This window comes from Homo sapiens, chromosome 9 (assembly GCF_000001405.40).
Source record: "Homo sapiens chromosome 9, GRCh38.p14 Primary Assembly".
Classification (NCBI taxonomy): domain Eukaryota; kingdom Metazoa; phylum Chordata; class Mammalia; order Primates; family Hominidae; genus Homo; species Homo sapiens.
In genome coordinates this window covers 35,867,792-35,889,890 of record NC_000009.12, presented here as the reverse complement: position 1 = coordinate 35,889,890, position 22,099 = coordinate 35,867,792, and the positions used below count along the sequence as shown (strand labels likewise).

At 39.2% G+C, this 22,099-nt stretch overlaps 1 protein-coding gene and 1 pseudogene across 1 annotated transcript; both read left to right on the top strand.

Annotated features, from left to right (window-relative positions):
- Positions 14,683 to 15,624, top strand: NDUFA5P4 (NADH:ubiquinone oxidoreductase subunit A5 pseudogene 4; annotated as a pseudogene).
- OR13J1 (olfactory receptor family 13 subfamily J member 1) lies at positions 19,490 to 20,428 on the top strand. The gene has a single exon (NM_001004487.1). It carries the CDS (start codon positions 19,490 to 19,492, stop codon positions 20,426 to 20,428), a length of 939 nt encoding a protein of 312 aa, NP_001004487.1.
- The last annotated feature ends 1,671 nt before the right edge of the window (positions 20,429 to 22,099 follow it).

The window sequence follows — 22,099 nt, the reverse complement described above, 5'->3', positions numbered from 1 at the left end:
AATTAAAATAAGGGTAGTTAACAGAACCAAAAATTGATTCTTTGAAAAGCCTAATAGAATTAAGAAAGTTTGGGAAATATTTATTAAGAAACAAAAAGAAACCAGGCACAGTGGCTCACACTGATAATACCAGCATCTTGGGAGATAGAGGTGGGAGAATCACCTGAGCCCAATAGTTCAAGACCAGCCTAGGCAACATAGTGAAACCCCATCTTCACAAAAAATTTAAAAAAAAATTTTTTTTAATTAGCCAGGCATGGTGGCACCTGCCTGCTGTCTCAACTACTAGGGAGGCAGGGGCAGGAGGATCATTTAAGCCCAGGAGTTTGAGTTTGCAGTGAACTGTGATCATGCCACTGCACTACAGCCTGGGTGAGAGAGCAAGACCCTGTCTCAAAAGGAAGAAAATAAATAAAATAAAATAAAAAAGGAAAGGAAAGAAACAAAAACAGTGAAAGCACAAATAAAAATTTTTAAAAAGGATATCACAGATACTTCATATATTTTAAAACAAATGAAAAGATACAGCAAGAGGAAGTAAGGAAATAACAAACATTGGAGTAGAAACTAATGAAATAGAGAATAGAAAAACTAGAGAAAATTAACAAAACCACAAGTTGGATTTTTTTTCTTTTCTTTCTTTTTTTTTTTTTTTTTTTGAGACAGGGTCTCACTCTGTCACCCAGGCTGGAGCACAGTGGCACAATCTCGGTTTACTGTAACCTCCACCTCCCAGGCTCAAGTAATCCTCCCACCTCAGCCTCCTGAGGAGCTGGGACTATAGGCCTACACGACCATGCCCAGCTAATTTTTGTATTATTAGTAGAGACGGGGTTTTGCCATATTGGCCAGGCTGGTCTCAAACTCCTGACCTCAGCCTCCCAAAGTGCTGGGGTTACAGGCGTGAGTCACCGTGCCCCGCCAAGTTGGATATTTTAAAAAGTCAACTAAATTTCAAATCTTTAGCTAGATTAACCAAGAAAAAAAAGAGAAAAGACTCAAATTACTAGAACCAGAAATGAGAGACATCACTACCAATCTTACACATATAAAAAAAAAATTATAAAAAACACTATAACAAATGTGTGCCAAAAAAATAGATAACTTAGATGAAATGGACAACTTTCTAGGAAGGCAGAAATTACCAAAACTGACTCAAGAATAAATTAAAAATCTAAATAGACCTATAAAGAGATTAGATTAGTAATTTTAAAAACTACCCTACAAAGAAAAGCACAGGCCCACATAGCTTCACTGGTGAATTTTACCAAACATTTAAAGCATTAATATGAATGTTTCACAAACTCTGCAAAAAATTAGAAGCAGATACCAAGAACATTTAATGGAAAAAGAATAGTGTTTTCAACAAATGGTGCTTGGACACCTGGATATCCAAATGCAAAGAATAAAGTTGGACACTTACCATACGCCAAATACAAAAATAGATCGAAGATCTAAATGTAATAGCTAAAACTATAAAATTCTGGGAATAAAACATAAGCATACATCTTTATGCTCTTGACTTTGGCAATGGAATCTTAAATATGATAGCAAATACACAAGCAATAAAAGAAAAACTAGATAAATTGGACTTCATTAAAAATAAAGTTTTGGCCGGGCGCTGTGGCTCACGCCTGTAATCCCAGCACTTTCGGAGGCCGAGGCAGGCAGATCACGAGGTCAGGAGGTCGAGACCATCCTGGCTAACACGGTGAAACCCCGTCTCTACTAAAAATACAAAAAATTAGCCGGGCGCGGTGGCGTGGGCCTGTAGTCCCAGCTACTCGGGAGGCTGAGGCAGAGGAATGGCATGAACCCGGGAGGCGGAGCTTGCAGTGAGCCGAGATAGTGCCACTGCACTCCGGCCTGGGCGAAAGAGCGAGACTCTGTCTCAAAAAATAAATAAATAAATAAAAATAAAAATAAAATAAAGTTTTGTGCTCCAAATACACCATTAAGAAGTGAGAAGAGGCCGGGCATGGTGGCTCACGTCTGTAATCCCAGGAAGGGATATTCTGGGAGGCTGAAGGTCAGGAATTCAAGACCAGCCTGGGCAACATGGTGAAATCCCATCTCTACTAAAAATACAAAAATTAGCCAGGCGAGGTGGCATGTGCCTGTAATCCCAGCTACTTGGGAGGCTGAGGCACAAGAATCGCTTGAACCCGGCAGGTGGAGATTGCAGTCAGCCAAGATTGTGCCACTGCACTCCAGCCTGGGCAACAGAGTGAGACTCTGTCTCAAAAAAAAAAAAAAAAAAAAAGTGAGAAGAGAATTCAAAGAATGGAAGAAAATATTTGCAAATAATATATCTGATAAGGGGCTTATATGTAGAATATATAACTCTTACAACTCATTAATAAGAAGACAAACAACCCAACTTAAAAATAGGCAAAGAACTTGAATAGACATTTCTTCAAAGAAGATATAAAAATGACCAATAAGCACATGATAAGATGTTCAACGTCATTAAGCATCTGGTTGCAAATCAAAGCCACAATGAGATACCACTTCACACCCATTAGGATGACTAAAATCAAAAAGTCAGGTAGTAGTAAGTATTCACAAGGATGTGGACAAGTCAGAAACCTCATACTCTCCTGGTGGGAATGTAAAATTGTGCAGCTGCTTTGGAAAACAGCCTGGCAGTTCCTCAAAAGGTTAAACATAGAGTTACCACATGGCCCAACAATTCCACTCCTAGATATACACCAAGAGAAATGAAAAATGAAAATCTATGTTCACACAAAGACTTGTACACAAATATTTATAGCAGCACTATTTGTAATTGCTAAAAGGTGGAGACAACCCAGATATCTATCAACTGATAAATAGATAAATAAAATGTAGTATAGCCGGACAATGAAACATTATTCAGCCATAAAAGGAATGAAGTATTGATACATGCTAGAACATAGATGAACCTTAAAAACAGCATGCTAAGTAGAAAATCAGTTACAAAAAATCATATATTATATGATTACATTTATATGAAACGTGAAGAATAGGCAAATTTGTAGGATCAGAAAGTAGGTTAGTGGTTGCTTAGGGATTGGAGGATGGGGGCACAGGAGGATAGCTACAGGGTACCAGATTTCTTTTTGAGGTGATGAAAATGTTCTAAAATTGCTTGTGGTGATGGCAGTTCGACTCTGTGTATATGCTAAAAGCCTATGAATTACACTCTTTATTTATTTGTTTGTTTGTTTGTTTGTTTTTGAGACAGGGTCTCACTCTGTTGCCCAGGTTGGAGTGCAATGGCGCAGTCTTGGCTCACTGCAACCTCCGCCTGCCCGATTCATGTGATTTTTCCCCCCTCAGCCTCCTGAGCTGGGATTACAGACCACCATGCCTGGCTAATTTTTGTGTTTTTCATAGAGACAGGGTTTCACCATGTTGGCCAGGCTGGTCTCGAACTCCTGATCTCAGGTGATCTGCCCACCTCAGCCTTCCAAAGTGCTGGGATTACAGGTGTGACCCACTGCGACCAGCCCTGAATTGTACACTTAAAATGGCTGAATTGTATGGTATATCTAATAAAGCTGTTCCCAAAAAAAACAAAAAAGAAAATATAACAAATTAACTTGAAAACCTAGATGAAGTAGAAAAAGTCCTAAAAATACGTAATTTGCCTAAACTGATTTGTGATATGATAGAAAACTTATAACCATTTAAAAAATTGTCAGTAGTTAAAATCCTCCCACAAGGTGAAGACTAGTTGCAAATAGGTCCAACTTGCACAAACTATCCCAGTATAGAAAAATATTATAAGCTAGCATAACCTTGAAACCAAAACCTGACCAGACCCTATAGAAAAGGAAAATTATGACACAACATCCTTTATGAATATATATGTAAATCCTGAAAACATATTAACAAATTAAATCCAGGCGTGTATGGAAAACCTTCTAAATCATGACAAAGCCAGATTTCTTCTGGTAATACAAGGGTGATTTACCATTAGAAAATCAATTGACATAATTCATCATATTAAAACAATAAAGAAGAAAGACTATATTATCATCCCAATAGATGTGAAGACTATTGGACAAAATTTAACATTCATTTTTGATTTTAAAACTCTTAGAGAAAAAAAACCAAATGAAGAACAGTAATATATTATGTCTTCATTTGGGTGAAAAATAAAGGGGGAATGTGTGTGTGTGTGTGTGTGTGTGTGTGTGTGTGTGAGATGACCCTCGTTACAGTGTCCAGAGCAGAGAACTAGGTTATGAGGTGACATGAGTGGAAGGGAGAGTTTGTCTACATATCCTTTTCTGCCTTTTGAATATTGTGCCGCAAAAATGAACAGACTATTAAAAATAAATTTTAACTTAACAATTAAATTACATTTGTAAAAAATGCTTAGCAAATTAGGAATAGAAAGAAACTTTCTTAATCCAATAAAGAATATCTAAAATCAAACATCATTCTTAATATTGATATTTGCAGCTGGGCATGCTGGCTCATGCCTGTAATCCCAGCACTTTGGGAGGCTAAGATGGAAGAATCCCTTGAGCCCAGGAGTTCAAGACCAGCCTGAACAACATGATGAGACCCTGTCTCTACCAAAAACATTTTTTTTTTAATTATTGGGGCTTGATAGTGTGTGTCTGTAGTCCCTGCTGCTACTCAGGAAGCTGAGACAGGAGGATCACTTGAGCCCGGGAAATCAAAGCTACAATGAACCATGATCATGCCACTGTACTCCAGCCTGGGTGAAAGAGCAAGACCCTGTGTCAAATAAATAAATAAATAAATAAATAAATAAATAAATAAATAAATAAATAAAAGATACTTGAAAGCATTAAAGATCAAGAGCAAGACAAACCTGTAATCCCAGCACTTTGGGAGGCTGAGGCAGGTGGATCACCTGAGGTCAAGAGTTTGAGACCACCCTGGCCAACATGGTGAAACCCGGCTCTACTAAAAATACAAAAATTAGCCATGTATGATGGCACGTGCCTGCAGTCCCAGCTACTCAGGAGGCTGGGGCAGAAGAATCACTTGAACACGGGAGGCAGAGGTTGCATTGAGCCGAGATCACACCATTGCACTCCAGCCTGGGTGACAGAGACTCCGTCACAAAAAAAAAAAAAAGCAAGACAAAGATGGCTGCTTTTACTACTTCTTTTCAACATTATTCTCAAAGATCTTAGCCAGCACAGAGGCATAATAAAATATGTAAAAAGGAATAAGGATTGAAAAAGAAGAAACAAAACTGTCATTATTTGCAGATGATGTTTGTCTACAAGAATATCCAAAATAAACTATAGATAAATTACTACAATTAATGTGACAGTGGAGCAATATTCCAGGCCTTAAAATCAGTAAACGAAAATAACAAAAATTAATTGCATTCCAATGTAACAACAATAAACACTGAAAATGTTATTTCTAAAACTGATCCCATTTACAATAACATTAAAATATATAAAACAGCAGTTCCAAAAATAACAAATGTGTAGAACCTTTAATGAGAAAATTTTTTTAATTTAATGATATACATTTAAAGAAAATGAAAGTAAATGGAGCAATATACCATGTTTATAGACTGGAAGACTCAATATAATAAAGATATAAGTTATCTCAAAATTGCTTTATAGATTCAAAGAAATTCCAATCAAATTTCTGAAAAGTTTTTTTAGAATTTGTCAAGCTAATTTTAAAATTTGTATGAAATCATCAAAGCGTTCATGTAAAGAGAATACCAAAGTGGGCATACTTGCTTTACCAGATAACAAGAATTATTCTAAAGCTCTTGTAATCAAGACAGTACAGTATTGCTGCAGTGATAGACAAATCTCCCACAATAAAGAACTCAAGAGCCAGGCTCTATTCTTTCCATTCTATCCACCTGAAATTTCTATTATCTGGATTGAAATGATGAATATATCTTTCACATTATCTAATATTTCTTTCCATATATTTGCCCTTTTATATCACATTTGGGAGTATTCTTCAACTTGACCTTCTGGCTTGATAATCTGCTCCTCAAATAAACACATTTGTCATATATACATATATATATATATGTATATATATATGTGTATATATATATAAATGAACACATTTGAGGGGCATATTATCATTAGAGGAACTAATTCACTGAGGTTTTTTGTTTGTTTGTTTTTGTCTTTATTTCAACAATCAACAGAATCTCTAATTGGTTTTTGTTTTCATATAAACTTGTTATTGTTCCATGGATGAAAAATCCTTTCTTGTCCTTCCAATGGTATAAATCACACTTCTTTCAAAGTCTCATTTACTTTATTCATGGTTTTCTTCAATGTTAGTTTCTCTTTGTTGGGTTTGGTTTCTCACTTTTATGATGTTAGTTTTCCTTCAGCGTGTGCTTATTCTTATTGTCAGGCTTATCTTTTTATTTAAGATTCCATATTGGCCTGTCTGTGGATGTGGTTTTCATTGACTATCTCCAGAAATTATAATGGGAGGATATTGTCTGTGCTCCTCATTCCTTCAGAGATTTCTCTGAGTTTCAAGTTCAAGCATTGGCAATGACTGACTCCGCTTAAGGGCCAATATCTCTGATGCTCACTGCTTCAACCTGCCCACTTGCTGCCAGTTAGAGCCCCTAACCAGTCATCGAGATGGTTGCCTCCTTCTTTTCCTTGTAACTGTTGCCTCTGAACTAAGAACGCCTCCAGAACCACTCCCCTTATTGCAGTAATCCCTTCCTTACTTTGTTTGGCTGTGGTTTCTTCCAACAATTCAACCTCATCTGCTTACCATTTTTCAGGAATTCCTGAACATTTCTTGTTGGCTGATAGCACTTTTTCTTGCTTTTCAGTACTGTTAAGAATTTATTTTCTAAAATACCTAGGAATAAATTTAGCCAAGAAGATGAAAGATCTCTGCAAGGAAAACTATTAAACTATTGAAGAAATAAATTGAAGAGGACACACAAAAAATAGAAAAAAAACTCATGCTCGTGGATGGAAAGAATATTGTGAAAATGACCATACTACCAAAGCGACTTACATATTAAATGCAATCCCTGTCAAAATACCAGAGATGCAAGATTTTACTTTCTGGACCAAATTTGGGACATAATTTCTGATTTATAAGTTTACTGATATGAAAAGCCATCCAGATTCGTAAAAGTGAAACTATATTTGAGGGTTTCCCTTCATTGAAAATGACATAAAGGTAATTATAAAGCTTAGAGAAAGGGACAGGTCAGTGAATGGACTGTTGGATTCTGAGAGGGTAGATTCTTTTAACACAGATATGATCTCTTTCCTCAGGGTCTCCTAGCAAAGAGAAACTAACAGAACCCAAGGAGGCAAAACAGATGGTTACATAACTCGGGCACGCAGATTTTATGTCTACCAGATTCCTAGATCTGTGATCCTGCTGCCTGAGCCCTGGAGTCCAGGATTTCACAGCTATTTCAAACCCCATCCCCAAAGGTCACAGAGAAGGGCCTGATGGCCACCAGGGGGAGCCCAGGAGCTGAAGCAGATCAGCTCACCTGAAATCAATCCAGCATCCATGCATGACAAGAATAAAAAACATAAGGAAGAAGAACGGTTTATCCCAGAAATACAAAGATAATTCAACATTAGGAAAAAAAACACATTAATATAAATCACTTTATTAACATATTAAAAGGAGAGGAGCCATATGGTTATGACAAAGTAAAGACCCGAATTGATGGAAAGACAAAAAACAATGTTCTTGGATGAGAAAACTTGATTTTGTAGGGATGTCAATTCCATCCCAAATTAGCCAATAAATTACAAGCAAAATCCCAGGAGAATTTTTGTGAAATGTGACAAGCTGATTGCAAAATTTATCTGGAAAAGAAAATGTGCAAGAATAGCCAAAAAATGATTGAAAAAGGCTGGTAAGAGAGGATTTCGCCTAGCAGATATCAACATAAAGCTACAAATCACTATAAAGCCATAGTAATTAAAACAGTGTGACATGAGGACAGAAAGACAATAAAATTTCTTTAGAACATAACACTAGGTCCAGAAAGAGACTAATAAATTTGTGAGAAATTCGTATATGAGAAAGGTGGCATTTTTTAAATCAATGAGAAAAGAATGACCTCCATAATAAATTTTATTGTGGCAAGTAAATAAGTTTACTTATCCTACCTCACTCACTCAATAAGTAAATTCCAGATAAAATAAAAGTTAAATTGAAAAGTAAAACTTTTAAATCATTAGAAGAAAATACAGAAAGGCGAATGTACTTAAAACCTTGGGGATATTACACAAGAGACAACGAAAAAGAAATTTGCTACCCCAAATAATTAAACTTCTATGTAACAAAAGATATCATACACAAATAAAAAAGGTAACTGACATAAAATGTTTGCCACATATATAATACACAAAGAAATACTATAGAGACTATATAAAGAATTTCTAGAAATCATTATTTTCAAAATTAGAAAAATGAGCATAAAATATGAAGAGATAATCAACAGAAAAAAATTTTAATGGCAAAAAATGACAAATAGAATTATTATTAACATTTTTAGTGATCAGGGAAATGTAAAATAAAACAGCAAGATATCCTTTTTCACCCATTGTAATACAAAATTTAAAAGACTGAGGCCAGGTGAGGTGGCTCAAGCCTGTAATCCCTGAACTTTGGGAGGCTGAAGGGGGAGGATCACTTGAGATCAGGCATTCAAGACCAGCCTAGGCAAATAACAAGACTCCATCTCTAAAAAAAAATTAAAATAATCATCAGGGTGCGCTGGCATGCTCCTGTAGTCCTGCTTACTCGGGAAGCTGAGACATGCGGATCACTCACGCCCAAGAGTTCAAGGTTACAGTGAGCTATGATTGCACCACTGCGCTACAGCCTGGGCAACAAAGCAAAATTCCATCTCTTTAAAAGTTTAATTTAATTTAATTTTAACTTAAAAATAAAAAATAAAAGACTGATAACACCCAGTATCAGTCAGGATATGGAGAAATGGGTACTGTTATATTCTTGGTGGAGATTTAAATTAAGACAACATTTCTGAGGGCAATTTAGGGCATCTTTCAACAATTTAAATAAACATACCTTCAATCCAATAACTTCCTGTCAAAATATCTATCCTAGAGAAGTATCTGTACATGTGCCAAAGAGTCATGTAAAATGATATGATTTGCAGCATTGTTTGCATGGCCAAAGAAAACATGAGATACAACCTAAATGTCTAACAACAGGAAATACTCAAATAAGCTATAATATATTCACACAATAGAATATTACATATAACTTACAAAGAAACAATTATATAAAAATATCTACGGTCGGGCGCGGTGACCCACACCTGTAATCCCAGCACTTTGGGAGGCCGAGGCAGGTGGATCACCTGAGGTCAGGAGTTTGAGACCAGCCTGACCAGCATGGTGAAACCCCGTCTCTACTAAAAATACAAAAATTAGCTCGGTGTGGTGGTGCATGCCTGTGGTTCCAGTTACTTGGGAGGCTGAGGAGAATCGCTTGAACCTGGGAGCCGGAGGTTGCAGTGAGTCGAGATCACGCCACTGCACTCCAGCCTGGGCACCAAGAGTGAAACTCCATTCTCTCTCTCTCAATCTCTCTCTCTCTCTCTCTCTCTATGTATATATATATATGTGTATGTGTGTGTGTGTGTGTGTGTGTATATATATGTATATATGTGTGTATATATATGTATACATATATTATATATGTGCATATACATATGTGTATATATGTATACACATATGTATATATGTGTACATACACATTTACATATATATACACAAGACATGGTATATTGTTAAAAGCAAGCCTCACATATTAAAGAAAGACACAGAAGATTTTTAAAGACCCAAATAAAACTTTTAAAAATAAAAAAATACAATTTTTGAGATTAAAAAAAAATCAAATGGATGAATGCAACATGATATCCTGGATTGGATCCAGGAACAGAAAAAGGATATTTGTGGGAAAACTGGGAAAATTTGAATAAAGCCTGTAGTTTAATTAATAGTGCCAATTATGTTTAGTTAATAGTGCCAATTATGTTTAGTTGTGTCACTGCTAATTTCTGAGTTTTGATGAACATTTCATGGCTATATAAGATGTTCACATTAGGAGAAGTTGGTTGAAAGTTATTCAGGAAATCTACATCCTATCTTTAGAACTCTTCTGCCAATCTAAGATTATTTCAAAATTTAAAACAAATTTCAAATATATTAGATGGAATTAATAGCAGACTAGAACCTACAGCAGAAAATATTAGTAAACTTGATACCATAGCAATATACATTAACCAAAATAAAATACACAAAAATATAAATAAATAAAATATCAGTGAGCTTTGGGACTTCAAGTAGCCTAATATAGGTACAACTAGAATCTCAGGAAAAGAAGCAATGGACAGAAAAAAAATGATCAAAATTTTTCTACACTTAAAAAAACCTACAAAATCATAGATCCAAAAACCTCAACAAAGCCCAAGCAGAAGAACAAGAAGACAGCTACAAAATCATAGATCCAAGAATCTCAACAAAGCCCAAGCAGAAGAACATGAAGACAGCTACACCAAGGCATATTATAATACTATTGCTTTAATCAGCGGTAAAGAGAACATCTTAAAAGCAATCATAGAAAAAGACACGTTATATACAGAGGAACAAACAAGAATGACAGCAGTCATTGTCAGAAACAATGCAAGCCAGAAGACAGTAGCGCAATATCTTCAAAATGGTAAAAGGAAAATTAAACTGTCAGAATTCTATACTAAGCAAAATACCTCTCAATACTGAAGTTAAATAAAAATATTTTCAGACATACAAAATTTGAAAGATTTTATTACCAACAGTCCAGATCTATAAGAATGTTAAAAGAAGTCCTTCAGGTGGAAGAAAAATGTTATCAGAAGAAAATACCTATCTATACCAGGCAATAAAGAGCCCTAGAAATGGTGAATATGTGAATAAATATAAAATATTTTTACTCTAATTTTTAAACCTTTTAAAACATAGCTTGGATGTGGCCAATAGGAAGCTAATAATTTTTTTAAAGGAAGGAATATATGGCATAGTTGACTATTGGAAGCAAAAGTAATAAGGTATTATAGAATTTTAACAGATGTGGAATTACAATATATAACAACAATAGCTCAAAACCCAGATGAGGGGAAGTGAAAGGGCATTGTTGCGACATTTATATACTATAGGTGAGGTGGTATTACATTAATTAAAGGTAGATTAAAAGAGGAACAAATAACAGATGGAACAATAGAAAACAAACAGCCAGATGAAATATTTAAATCCAACTATGTCCCTGGTCATTTTTAATGCAATTGGTCTAAGCATCTAAATTAAAGGGCAGAGATTGTCTGATTAAATTTTTAAAGATCCGGCCGGGCACAGTGGCTCACGCCTGTAATCCCAGCACTTTGGGAGGCCGAGGCAGGCAGATCACGAGGTCAGGAGATTGAGACCATCCTGGCCAACATGGTGAAACCCCGTCTTTACCAAAAATACAAAAATTAGCTGGGCCTGGTGGCACGTGCCTGTAATCCCAGCTACTCAAAGGAGGCTGAGGCGGGAGAATGGTGTGAACCCAGGAGGCAGAGCTTGCAGTGAGCCGAGATCACACCACTGCACTCCAGCCTGGCGACATAGCAAGGCTCCATCTCAAAAAAAAAAAAAAAAAAAATTAAAGCTCCAATTCTATATTAATAGCAGACAAAGTAGATATTAGAGCAAAAACATTAACAGGGATAAAGAGGGTCATTTGAAAATGACAAAGATGTCAGTTCATCAAGATAACATAACAGTCCTAAAAGCTTATATATCTAATGACAGAGCCTCAAAATACATAAAGCAAGACCTGATAGAACTGAAAGGAGGAATAGACAAATCTGTAATTGCAGCCAAAGATTTCAACATCCCTGTCTCAGTAGTTGAAAAATAAGTAGACAGAAAATTAGTAAGAATATAGGAGACTTGGACAATACTTTCATCCAACTTAATTGATATTTATAAAACCCTTCACCCAATAACAGCAGAATACCGTGGAAAAAGACAGCTAAGGAAAATCCTCCTGGGGTCAAAACAAACCTCAAAGACTGGCCTCAAAAATACTCCTGCCCAAATTTAATTGGATCAGACTGTGGCACAATGTATTCCCCATCACATGATCAAAAACAATAAAGCAATCAGATGACAATTTGTGGAGCCTAACACTGGCTGTGATACCAGCAGAAGTAGATACTTTTACAAATAGATCAGGAAAAGCAACAGTCAAATGGCTCTGCTAAAACCACTGTTATCCCAGGGTGTGAATGTGCACATATCCAAGGCTACATACAGCCTCTGAGGAAAGACAGAGGCTTCGTGCTGTGGGATAATAGACTAAATTAAATAGTCTAGCCAAGTCAGGAATAAAGAAGTAAAAAATAACAAAAGCAAGCTACAAAGACGGGTGGAAGATCGGTATCTAGAGTGGCTACCATATATTACCAAAAATATACAGTTTCAACAAAAAATTATGAATCATGCAAAGGAACAAGAAAGTATGCATACATGAAGGGGGAACACAGGCAAGAGAAACTGCCTGCAAAAGGCCTCAAGTCATATTTAGCCAATGAAGATTTCAAGCATCCACTGTAACTATATTCAAAGAATTAAAGGAATTCATGCTTAAAGAATTAAAGGATCTACATATTTGGTGCAATCCCTATCAAAATCCCAATGATGTTTTTGCAGAAATAGAAACATCATCCTAAGATTCATATGGAATCTCAAGGGACCTTGAGTAGTCAAAACAACTTTGAATAATAACAAAGCTGAAGGACTCACACTTCCTGATTTCAAAACTTACTACAAAGCTACAGTAATCAAAACAGTATGGTACTGGCATAAAGACAGACACACAGACCAATGGAACAGAATGAAAAGCCCAGAAATAAACCCTCATATCAAGTGATTTTTGTCAAGAGCAATGAGACTATCTATTTAGGAAGGGACAGTTTTTTTCAATAAATTGTGCTGGGAAAATTAGATGTCCACATGCAAAAGAGACTCTTACGTAGTGCCAAATACCAAAACAAAAATTCAAAATGGACCAAAGACCTACCAAAAACTATCAAACTTTTAGAAGAAATCACAGGGCAAAAGCTTCATGAATTTGAATTTGGCAATAATTTCTTGGATATGACTCCAAAGGCAGAGGCAAAAAAAAGAAAACAATCAACAAATTAGACTTCATGAAAATATTAAAATTTTGTGCATCACAAGACTATGTCAACAGAGTAAGAAGGCAACCCACAGAATGGGAGAAAATATTTATAAATTATGTATCTGATGAGGGATTAACATCCATAATATAGAGAGAACTCCTAAAACCCAAAACAAAAAAACCACAGTGCTATTAATAAAAGGGCAAATAACTTAAAGAGACATTTCTCCAAAAATCTATACAAATGGACAATAGGCACATGAACAAATGTTTACCACTAAATCATTAAGGTAATACAATCAAAACTACAATAAGATAGTCCATCTCACCCATTAGAATGGCTGCTATTTAAAAAAAAAAACAGAAAATAACAAGTGTTGGTGAGACTATGAAGCAATTGGAACCCTTGTGCACTGTTGGTGGAAATATAAAATGGAAAACAGTATGGTAGTTTCTCAAAAAAGTTAAAAATAAAATAACCATATGATTCAGCAATTCTACCTCTGGTGAGGGGTGGGGGAGTAAAGGAAGCTATGATGACAATTTCTCATCAAATAGAGATATTAATGAAGAGAAACTATTTTGAATGGAAATTCCAAAATTAAATATACAATAACCAAAATGAAAAATTCACTTAGAGGTGTTCAACAGTAGATTTGAACTGGCAAAAGAATCATCAGACTTGAAGAAAGATCGATAGAGATTATAGAATCTGAAGAACAGAAAGAAAAAGGGATAAAGAAAAATGAACATAGCCTCAGGGAAATGTGAAACACCCTTAAGTGTACTAACATATGAGTGAGATAGGATTACCAGGAGAGGAGAGAAAGAAATGAACAGAAAAAGTATTAGAAGACATAATGATAGAAAACTTCCCAAATTTGTTGAAAAACATTACACATCCAAGAAGCTCAACAAACTCAAAGAAATCCACCCCAGACATATAATAGTAAAAGTGCTTGAAAGACAAAGAGAAAACATTGACAGCAGTGAGAGACAAATAACTCATCACATACAAGGGAATGATAATAAGATTAGCAGCTGATTTCCTATCGGAAACAGTGGAAGCCAAAAGGCAGCAGGCTGACATATTCAAAATACTGAAAGAAAAGCCTGCCAACCAAAAATATTAAAAACAGAAAAACTGTCTTTCAAAAACCAAGGCAAAATAAAGACATACCTACATAAACAAAAACTAAGAGAATTCATTGCTAGCAGACCCACTTTACAAGAAATACTAAAAGAAATCCTCTAGGCTGAAAGCAAGCAAATACAGACGGAAATTCAAATCCACATGATAGAACAAAGAGCACTGATAAAGGTAATTATATAATTATAAAAGGCAGTTTTAAGTGCATATTTCTTATTTCTTCTCCTATTTTTCAAAGAAATCATATAAAACAATATGTATATAATTATATTCTTGGAAAAAATGTATACTCTAAAAATTACAAAATATTGTTGAAAGAAATTAAAGAAGATCCGACTGGCTCATTGGCGCTGTCATGGCAGGTGTGCTGAAGAAGACCACTGGCCTCATGGGATTGGCTGTATGCAAGAGTCCACACAAGACAAGCAACTAAAATCAGTCTGCTAAAATGTAAGAGGCTAAGAATATTGTACACAAAGATCCTTGATGTTCTTAAGCAAACCCCTTAAAAAGCAGCACATAGAAAGTATACAGAACAGATTGCAGATGAGAAATTGGCTATGGTTAAAGCAGAACCAGATGTTAAAAAATTAGAAGACCAACTTCAAGGTGTTCAAATAAAAGAGGTGATTCTTCAGGCTGAAAATGAACTAAGTCTGGCAAGAAAAATGATACAGTGGAAATGATAGGAGATGTTCATGGAAGAGCCTCCTGCCAATCAATGGAAATGGCCAATGTAATTAATAAATGACTGGTGGGTTGATGGGAAAAATAATATAATTAAATATTCTGTTATATTAAGAGCATGCCCATATTATTGACATTTTATAATCAAGAAAAGTAATATAGAAAATGTTTAAGAGACTTAAAATTAGTGATTATGGTAGTACAGTATTGTGAATCAATTTTTGATTTGTAAAGTATTCACACAAATTATTACAAAGATGATATTTCTTAGAACAGAGAGGTCATGGAAAGACTTGAAAATTAATTTTAAAAAATCCTACAGATCTTCAATGCAGAGGCCATACTCCAAAAGTAAAGTTTCTTTAGTAGTATCTTCAATACATCATTAATTTTTTTATCATTCTGAAGAAGAAAAGGTCCTTAATTATTATTGTCTAAACAAATTTATAGATCACTGTTTAAAGTAAATATAGTAAGAGTGAATATTTTCAAATGTGATAAAATAGCACAAGTGGCTGGTAATAAAATTTGAAATTATAGTTAACCTCCTTGGCTGTGATCTTACGTATGTAAAGTAAAATGTAAATACATAATTAGGCCAGGTGCAGTGGCTCACACCTGTAATCCTAGCACTTTGGGAGGCCGAGGCAGTTGGATCATTTGAGATCAGAAGTTTGAGACCAGCCTAGCCAACATGGTGAAACCCCATCTCTACCAAAAATACACAAAAATTACCTGGGTATGATGGTGTGTGCTTGTGATCCCAGCTACTCGGGAGGCTGAGGTGGGAGGATCACTTGAGCCCAAAAGGCAGAAGTTGCAGTGAGCCCAGGTCACACTACTGCACCCCAGCCTGGGTATCAGAGCGAAACCCCATCTCAAAGAAAAAAAATTAAAATTAAAATAGGCTAAAGAGCCTATTTTTTTCTCCAAAGAAGATATACAAATACCCAATGAGCACTTGAAAATATGTTCAATGTCATTAGCCATTAGAGAAATGCAAATCAAAATCACAATTAGATACCACTTCACTCTTACTATGATGGTTATATATAAATATAAATTTTTTTTTTGAGACAGGGTCTCACTCTGTCACCCAGGCTGGAGTAGGGTGGTATGAACATGGCTCACAGCAGCCCTCAACCTTCTGGGCTCAAGCTATTCTCCTGCCTCAATCTCCCAAGTAGCGGAGACTACAGGCACATGCCACCATGCCCGGCTAATTTTTGTATTTTTTGTAGAGACGAGGTTTCACCATGTTGCCCGGGCTGGTCTCGAACTCCTGGTCTCAAGTGATCTGCCCACCTCGGCCTCCCAAAGTGCTGGGATTACAGGCGTGAGCCACCACACCCAACCAAGATGGCTATAATTTAAAAAGCAGATAATAACAATTGTTGGTGAGGATGTGGAGAAATTGAAACCCTCACATATTGGGGAAATGTAAAATGGGAAAGTAAAATGATACTTTCCATTTTGGAAACTGGCAGTTCCCCAAAAATATACACATAGAGTTTCTATATGACCTAGAAACTCCACTCCTAAGAAAATATCCAAGAAAAATGAAAATATACATCCACACAAAAACTTGTATGCAAATGTTCATAGCAGCACTATTCGTAACAGTCAAAAAGTGGAATCAACCCAAATGTCTATCAACTGATGAATGGGCACATAAAATGTGGTATATCCATACAACTGAATATTAATTAGCAATAAAAAGAAAGTAAGTCCTGATACATGCTACAATATAGATGAACCTTGAAAACATTAAGCTAAGTAAGAGAAACCAGTCACAAAGGGAAACATATTTTATAATTTCATTTATGTAAAATGTCCAGAATAGGCAGCTCAAAAGAGACAAAAAGTAGATTAATGGTTTCCTAAGACTGGAGGAGGTTGAGGGGAAAAGGGGAGTGATGGCTAAAGGGTATGGGCTTCCTTTGGAAGTGATAAACATGTTCTAAAATCAACTGTGGTGATACTCAAAACTATTGCATTGTACACTTTAAATTCACCCGTTGTACACTTTAAACTCACCCATTTAAAGTGTACAATGCAATAGTTTTGTATTTGAATTGTACATTTTAAATGGGTGAATTTAAATGGGCGGCTGCATGGTGTTTGAATTATAGCTCAATAAAGATGCTATTTTTAAAAAGAACTAACCATTGATTCACACAACATGGATGACTCTCAAAATAATCACGCTGAGTGAAAGAAGCCAGATTTTAAAAAGAGTACATTCTGCATAATTCCCTTTATGTAAAATGCTAGAAAATGAAAGTAATCTACAGTTACAGAGAGCAAATCAGTGGCTGCCTGGTTGGGGAAGAAAGGAATGGATTACCAAGGGGCATGAGAAAAATTGTGGGTATATTAGATAAGTTCATTATCTTGATTGTGGTCATGGTTTCATGACTGTATACATTAAAACTAATCAAATTATATGATTTAAATATAGTTGTACATCAACCATCCTTCAATAAAGCTGCAACAAAAAAGCATACTAAAAAGTCACAAGACCTATTTCCATGTATAGATATACATATGCAAATGGCCAGAAAAGTATCTGGATAGATATACACAAAACTAATAACAATAGTTACTTTTGGAAAAGTGGGAGAGTGGGAAGGGTGGGTGAGGCTGGGTATGGAAGAGTGAGGGAAGGGTGAGGCTGGGTATGGGAGAGTGGGAAGGGTGGGTGAGGCTGGGTATGGGAGAGTGGGGGGAGGGTGAGTCTGGGTATGGGAGAGTGGGAAGGGTGGGTGAGGCTGGGTATGGAAGAGTCAGGGGAGGGGGAGGCTGGGTATGGGAGGGTGGGGGAGGACAAGGATGGGTATGGGAGAGTGGGAGGGGTGGGTGAGGCTGGGTACGGAAGAGTGGGGGGACGGTGAGGCTGGGTATGGAAGACTTGGGGGTCCTCTCTGCCTAGGAAGGGTTTGCACTCAGCAGCCTGGGAGCACACCTGTCATCAGTGCTCCCTCACATCTGGCACCACCTGACATGTAGCAGGTCCTCAGTTACTTCTAGGTTCTGGGATGAGTAAGTGAGGGTGGAATAAAAGACGGAAATGGTCTCCTGCAAGGAAGGCACTGAGAGGAACTGTGCTCCACCCAGGCCCAGGATTTGGCATCGTGTCCCATGGGATTAATGACACCGTGCCAGATACCCTGGAACACTAAGGAGAGGTGACTCATGCTCTTTTGCTGGTGAGAGGATTGTGGCAGCACCTGGGGCACTGATATCCATCTAGAATGGTAAAAGAACAAGCATTGTTTGAAACCTAATAGAAGCATACACCTGCTCTGAGCATGGTATAGGGGTCACACTGTTGGGAGGGCTGGATTCTAGCTTCACCTCACCAGAGACCTGTTGTGTGACCTCAGCATCCCCATCTATACAATGGGAGATCCAACAAGTTGGCCTCTGGTCATGTTCCATGCTAATACCCTAGGAGTTCATGAAGTCAAAGCAGCCCTCGCTCTGGCCCACAGAACATAGGGGTTTGGAGCTGGGCCAAAAGCTCCATCAGATTTTAGCTGGGAAACCCACAGGAAGGCAGATTGTGAAGGTCCAATCCACACAGGGTAGCTAATGAAACAGGCCCTGGGCAGGGGACAGGGGAACATGCCCAGCGATAGGCTTCAAGGTCAGCAGCCCTCCAACACACAGCACGGTGTATGCTTTGTTCATGGATACTAGAGTAGGCCTGAAGAGACAGGTCAGACCACTGCAGGCCGAGGACATTCCAGACAGAAGGAATAGCAAATGCGATGGCTCAGAGGCTTCCTTAAAGCCAGGAGAATCTCCACCTGCTCAGAGACCACCTAGCCCACTAGTTCCTCAAAGTGTGGTACCTACATCAGCAGCAGAAGCATCGCCCAGACGCACCGAGTCAGAAACTGGGTTTGGGGCCCAACAATCTGTTTTAACAAACTTTCCAGGTGATTCTGGTGCATGTTAAAGTTTGAGAACTGTTGATCTAGCCTACTGTTTCCCAGACTATGCTCATAGAACACTTATCTGCAGTAGGTTAATGGGTTTTCTGTAAAAGGGGATCCATGATCAAATAAGTTTGGGGTACAGATGTTCTACATTGCTTTGCAGGAGTCATAGATCACATTAGCGTAGTAAACGCTCTGAGAAGTCCTGCAGTAAAGAGCTTTATTTTTTATTAATCCAATGTTGTCTCAAATTGATTTTTCAGATTGCTTACTAATGTTCTCATTAACATTCTCTCAGGGAATGCTGATCTAAATCAATGCTCATTTTTCACATGGATAAACTGAGGCCTAGAGAGGATAAAGGGATTGCCCGACGTCACAGACAGTGAGTGTGGCAGTGCTGGAAAAGATCCTGACAGTCCACCTCGTCCCAGAAAGGGCTCTGTGAGCTTCCCCGCACCCTGTACCCTCTCTCCTTCCATCCCAGCTGTGGACCATCTCTTCAGAACTCTGCAGCATGGAGCCGCTCAACAGAACAGAGGTGTCCGAGTTCTTTCTGAAAGGATTTTCTGGCTACCCAGCCCTGGAGCATCTGCTCTTCCCTCTGTGCTCAGCCATGTACCTGGTGACCCTCCTGGGGAACACAGCCATCATGGCGGTGAGCGTGCTAGATATCCACCTGCACACGCCCGTGTACTTCTTCCTGGGCAACCTCTCTACCCTGGACATCTGCTACACGCCCACCTTTGTGCCTCTGATGCTGGTCCACCTCCTGTCATCCCGGAAGACCATCTCCTTTGCTGTCTGTGCCATCCAGATGTGTCTGAGCCTGTCCACGGGCTCCACGGAGTGCCTGCTACTGGCCATCACGGCCTATGACCGCTACCTGGCCATCTGCCAGCCACTCAGGTACCACGTGCTCATGAGCCACCGGCTCTGCGTGCTGCTGATGGGAGCTGCCTGGGTCCTCTGCCTCCTCAAGTCGGTGACTGAGATGGTCATCTCCATGAGGCTGCCCTTCTGTGGCCACCACGTGGTCAGTCACTTCACCTGCAAGATCCTGGCAGTGCTGAAGCTGGCATGCGGCAACACGTCGGTCAGCGAAGACTTCCTGCTGGCGGGCTCCATCCTGCTGCTGCCTGTACCCCTGGCATTCATCTGCCTGTCCTACTTGCTCATCCTGGCCACCATCCTGAGGGTGCCCTCGGCCGCCAGGTGCTGCAAAGCCTTCTCCACCTGCTTGGCACACCTGGCTGTAGTGCTGCTTTTCTACGGCACCATCATCTTCATGTACTTGAAGCCCAAGAGTAAGGAAGCCCACATCTCTGATGAGGTCTTCACAGTCCTCTATGCCATGGTCACGACCATGCTGAACCCCACCATCTACAGCCTGAGGAACAAGGAGGTGAAGGAGGCCGCCAGGAAGGTGTGGGGCAGGAGTCGGGCCTCCAGGTGAGGGAGGGCGGGGCTCTGTACAGACGCAGGTCTCAGGTTAGTAGCTGAGGCCATCGTATGCCAATGCCAGTGAAGACATGGCAGGGCTGGGGCTACAGGTCTGGTATCTTCATCCCAGCAAGGCAGCACCAAGTCCCGCTGATCCTGCCACAGAACAGCCCCCAAATCACCCTCTGCTCTCAGCATCACCCTGGCCTTCACACCAGCCTCCTGGCTGGTCCCAAGACTTCAGTCCTGTTCCTCCCTCCAATCTCTCCTTCATGGGGCATCTTTTTGAAATGCACATGTGATTGCATCACTCTTCTCACTGAAATCCCTAGGTGGCTCCCCACTGTTCTCAGAACAAAGTGGAAGCTTTTCAGTGGGGCATTTGAGGCCCTCACAAGCTGGCCCTGCCTGACTGGCTCCCCAGCCTTCCTCCCCTCCCACCCCATCTCCCTCCTCACAGCCACACACACCAGCCAGTTGTGGCCCCCACATGCCCTGCACCACCCAGCTCTGTGCTCTCCTTGTTTCTCCCCACGAGGCAGCACCCCCTCCCCTATCCCCAGCACACTTCTCCATATGTAAAAGGACTGACTGCCTGACCCTTCAGGCCCAGCTCAAATGCCACCTCCACCAGGAAGCCACCCCACCTTGCTCCTCTTGCTGTGCCCCTCTGTGTTTTCAGCATTACTCCAAGAGCAGGGAGTGTCAGATTCTACTCTCTCCCAAGGTCCAGCCTTGCCCAACTCTAGGCCCTGCACAAGTTTCTTAAATAGAGATATTAACATGTCAATGTAGGGGTGACAATGGCAGAGCCTAGAGTTCTTCCCAAAACTGAGCAGAGCTGAGACGGAGTCCACAGATGACGAGAATGGCCCAGCTTCCCTGGTAGGTGACAGTAGAGGCAGCAATGAGGCCTGTATTAGTCAGGGTTCTCTTAGAGGGACAGAACTAATAGGATAGAGGAGTTTATTAAGTATTAACTTACACGATCACAAGGTTCCACAATAGGCTGAGGAGCAAGGAGAACCAGTCCGAGTCCCCAGACTGAAGAACTTGGAGTCCATTGTTCAAGGGACGGAAACATCCAGCATGGGAGAAAGATGTAGGCTCGGAGGCTAGGCCCGTCTCTCCTTTTCACGTTTTTCTGCCTGCTTTATATTCACTGGAAACTGATTAGATCATGCCCACCAGATTAGGGTGGATCTGCCTTCCCCAGCCCACTGACTCAAATGTGAATCTCTTTTGGCAACACCCACACAGAACACACCCAGGATTCATACTTTGTATCCCACGATCCAAAGAAGTTGACACTCAGTATTAACCATCACAAGGCCCAAAGTCCAAGATTCCCAGACCTGTCAGGCCCTGGGACACCAATCATCCAGCCCAAAGCCTGAAGCCACCCCATTCCTCCCACCTCACCCCGCCCAGCAGCAACAGCAGCAGCAGCAGCTTCCAGTGCTCCCTTTCTTGGGATCCAGGCCTCACCTGGCTTGAGGAAGCTTGTTTTACCCATCCTCACCTCATGCCCTGGGACCCTGCCATAGTTGCCCCTGCCTGGTGCTCAGCCTCTTCCAGCTTTTCTTTCTGATAACTCAGTGCACAGGCAGTGGACACTGACCTAGATTCACGGAGCATTTCCATTCCCTGCCTTGCCCTGGCCTCCATGGTACCATCTGTACGA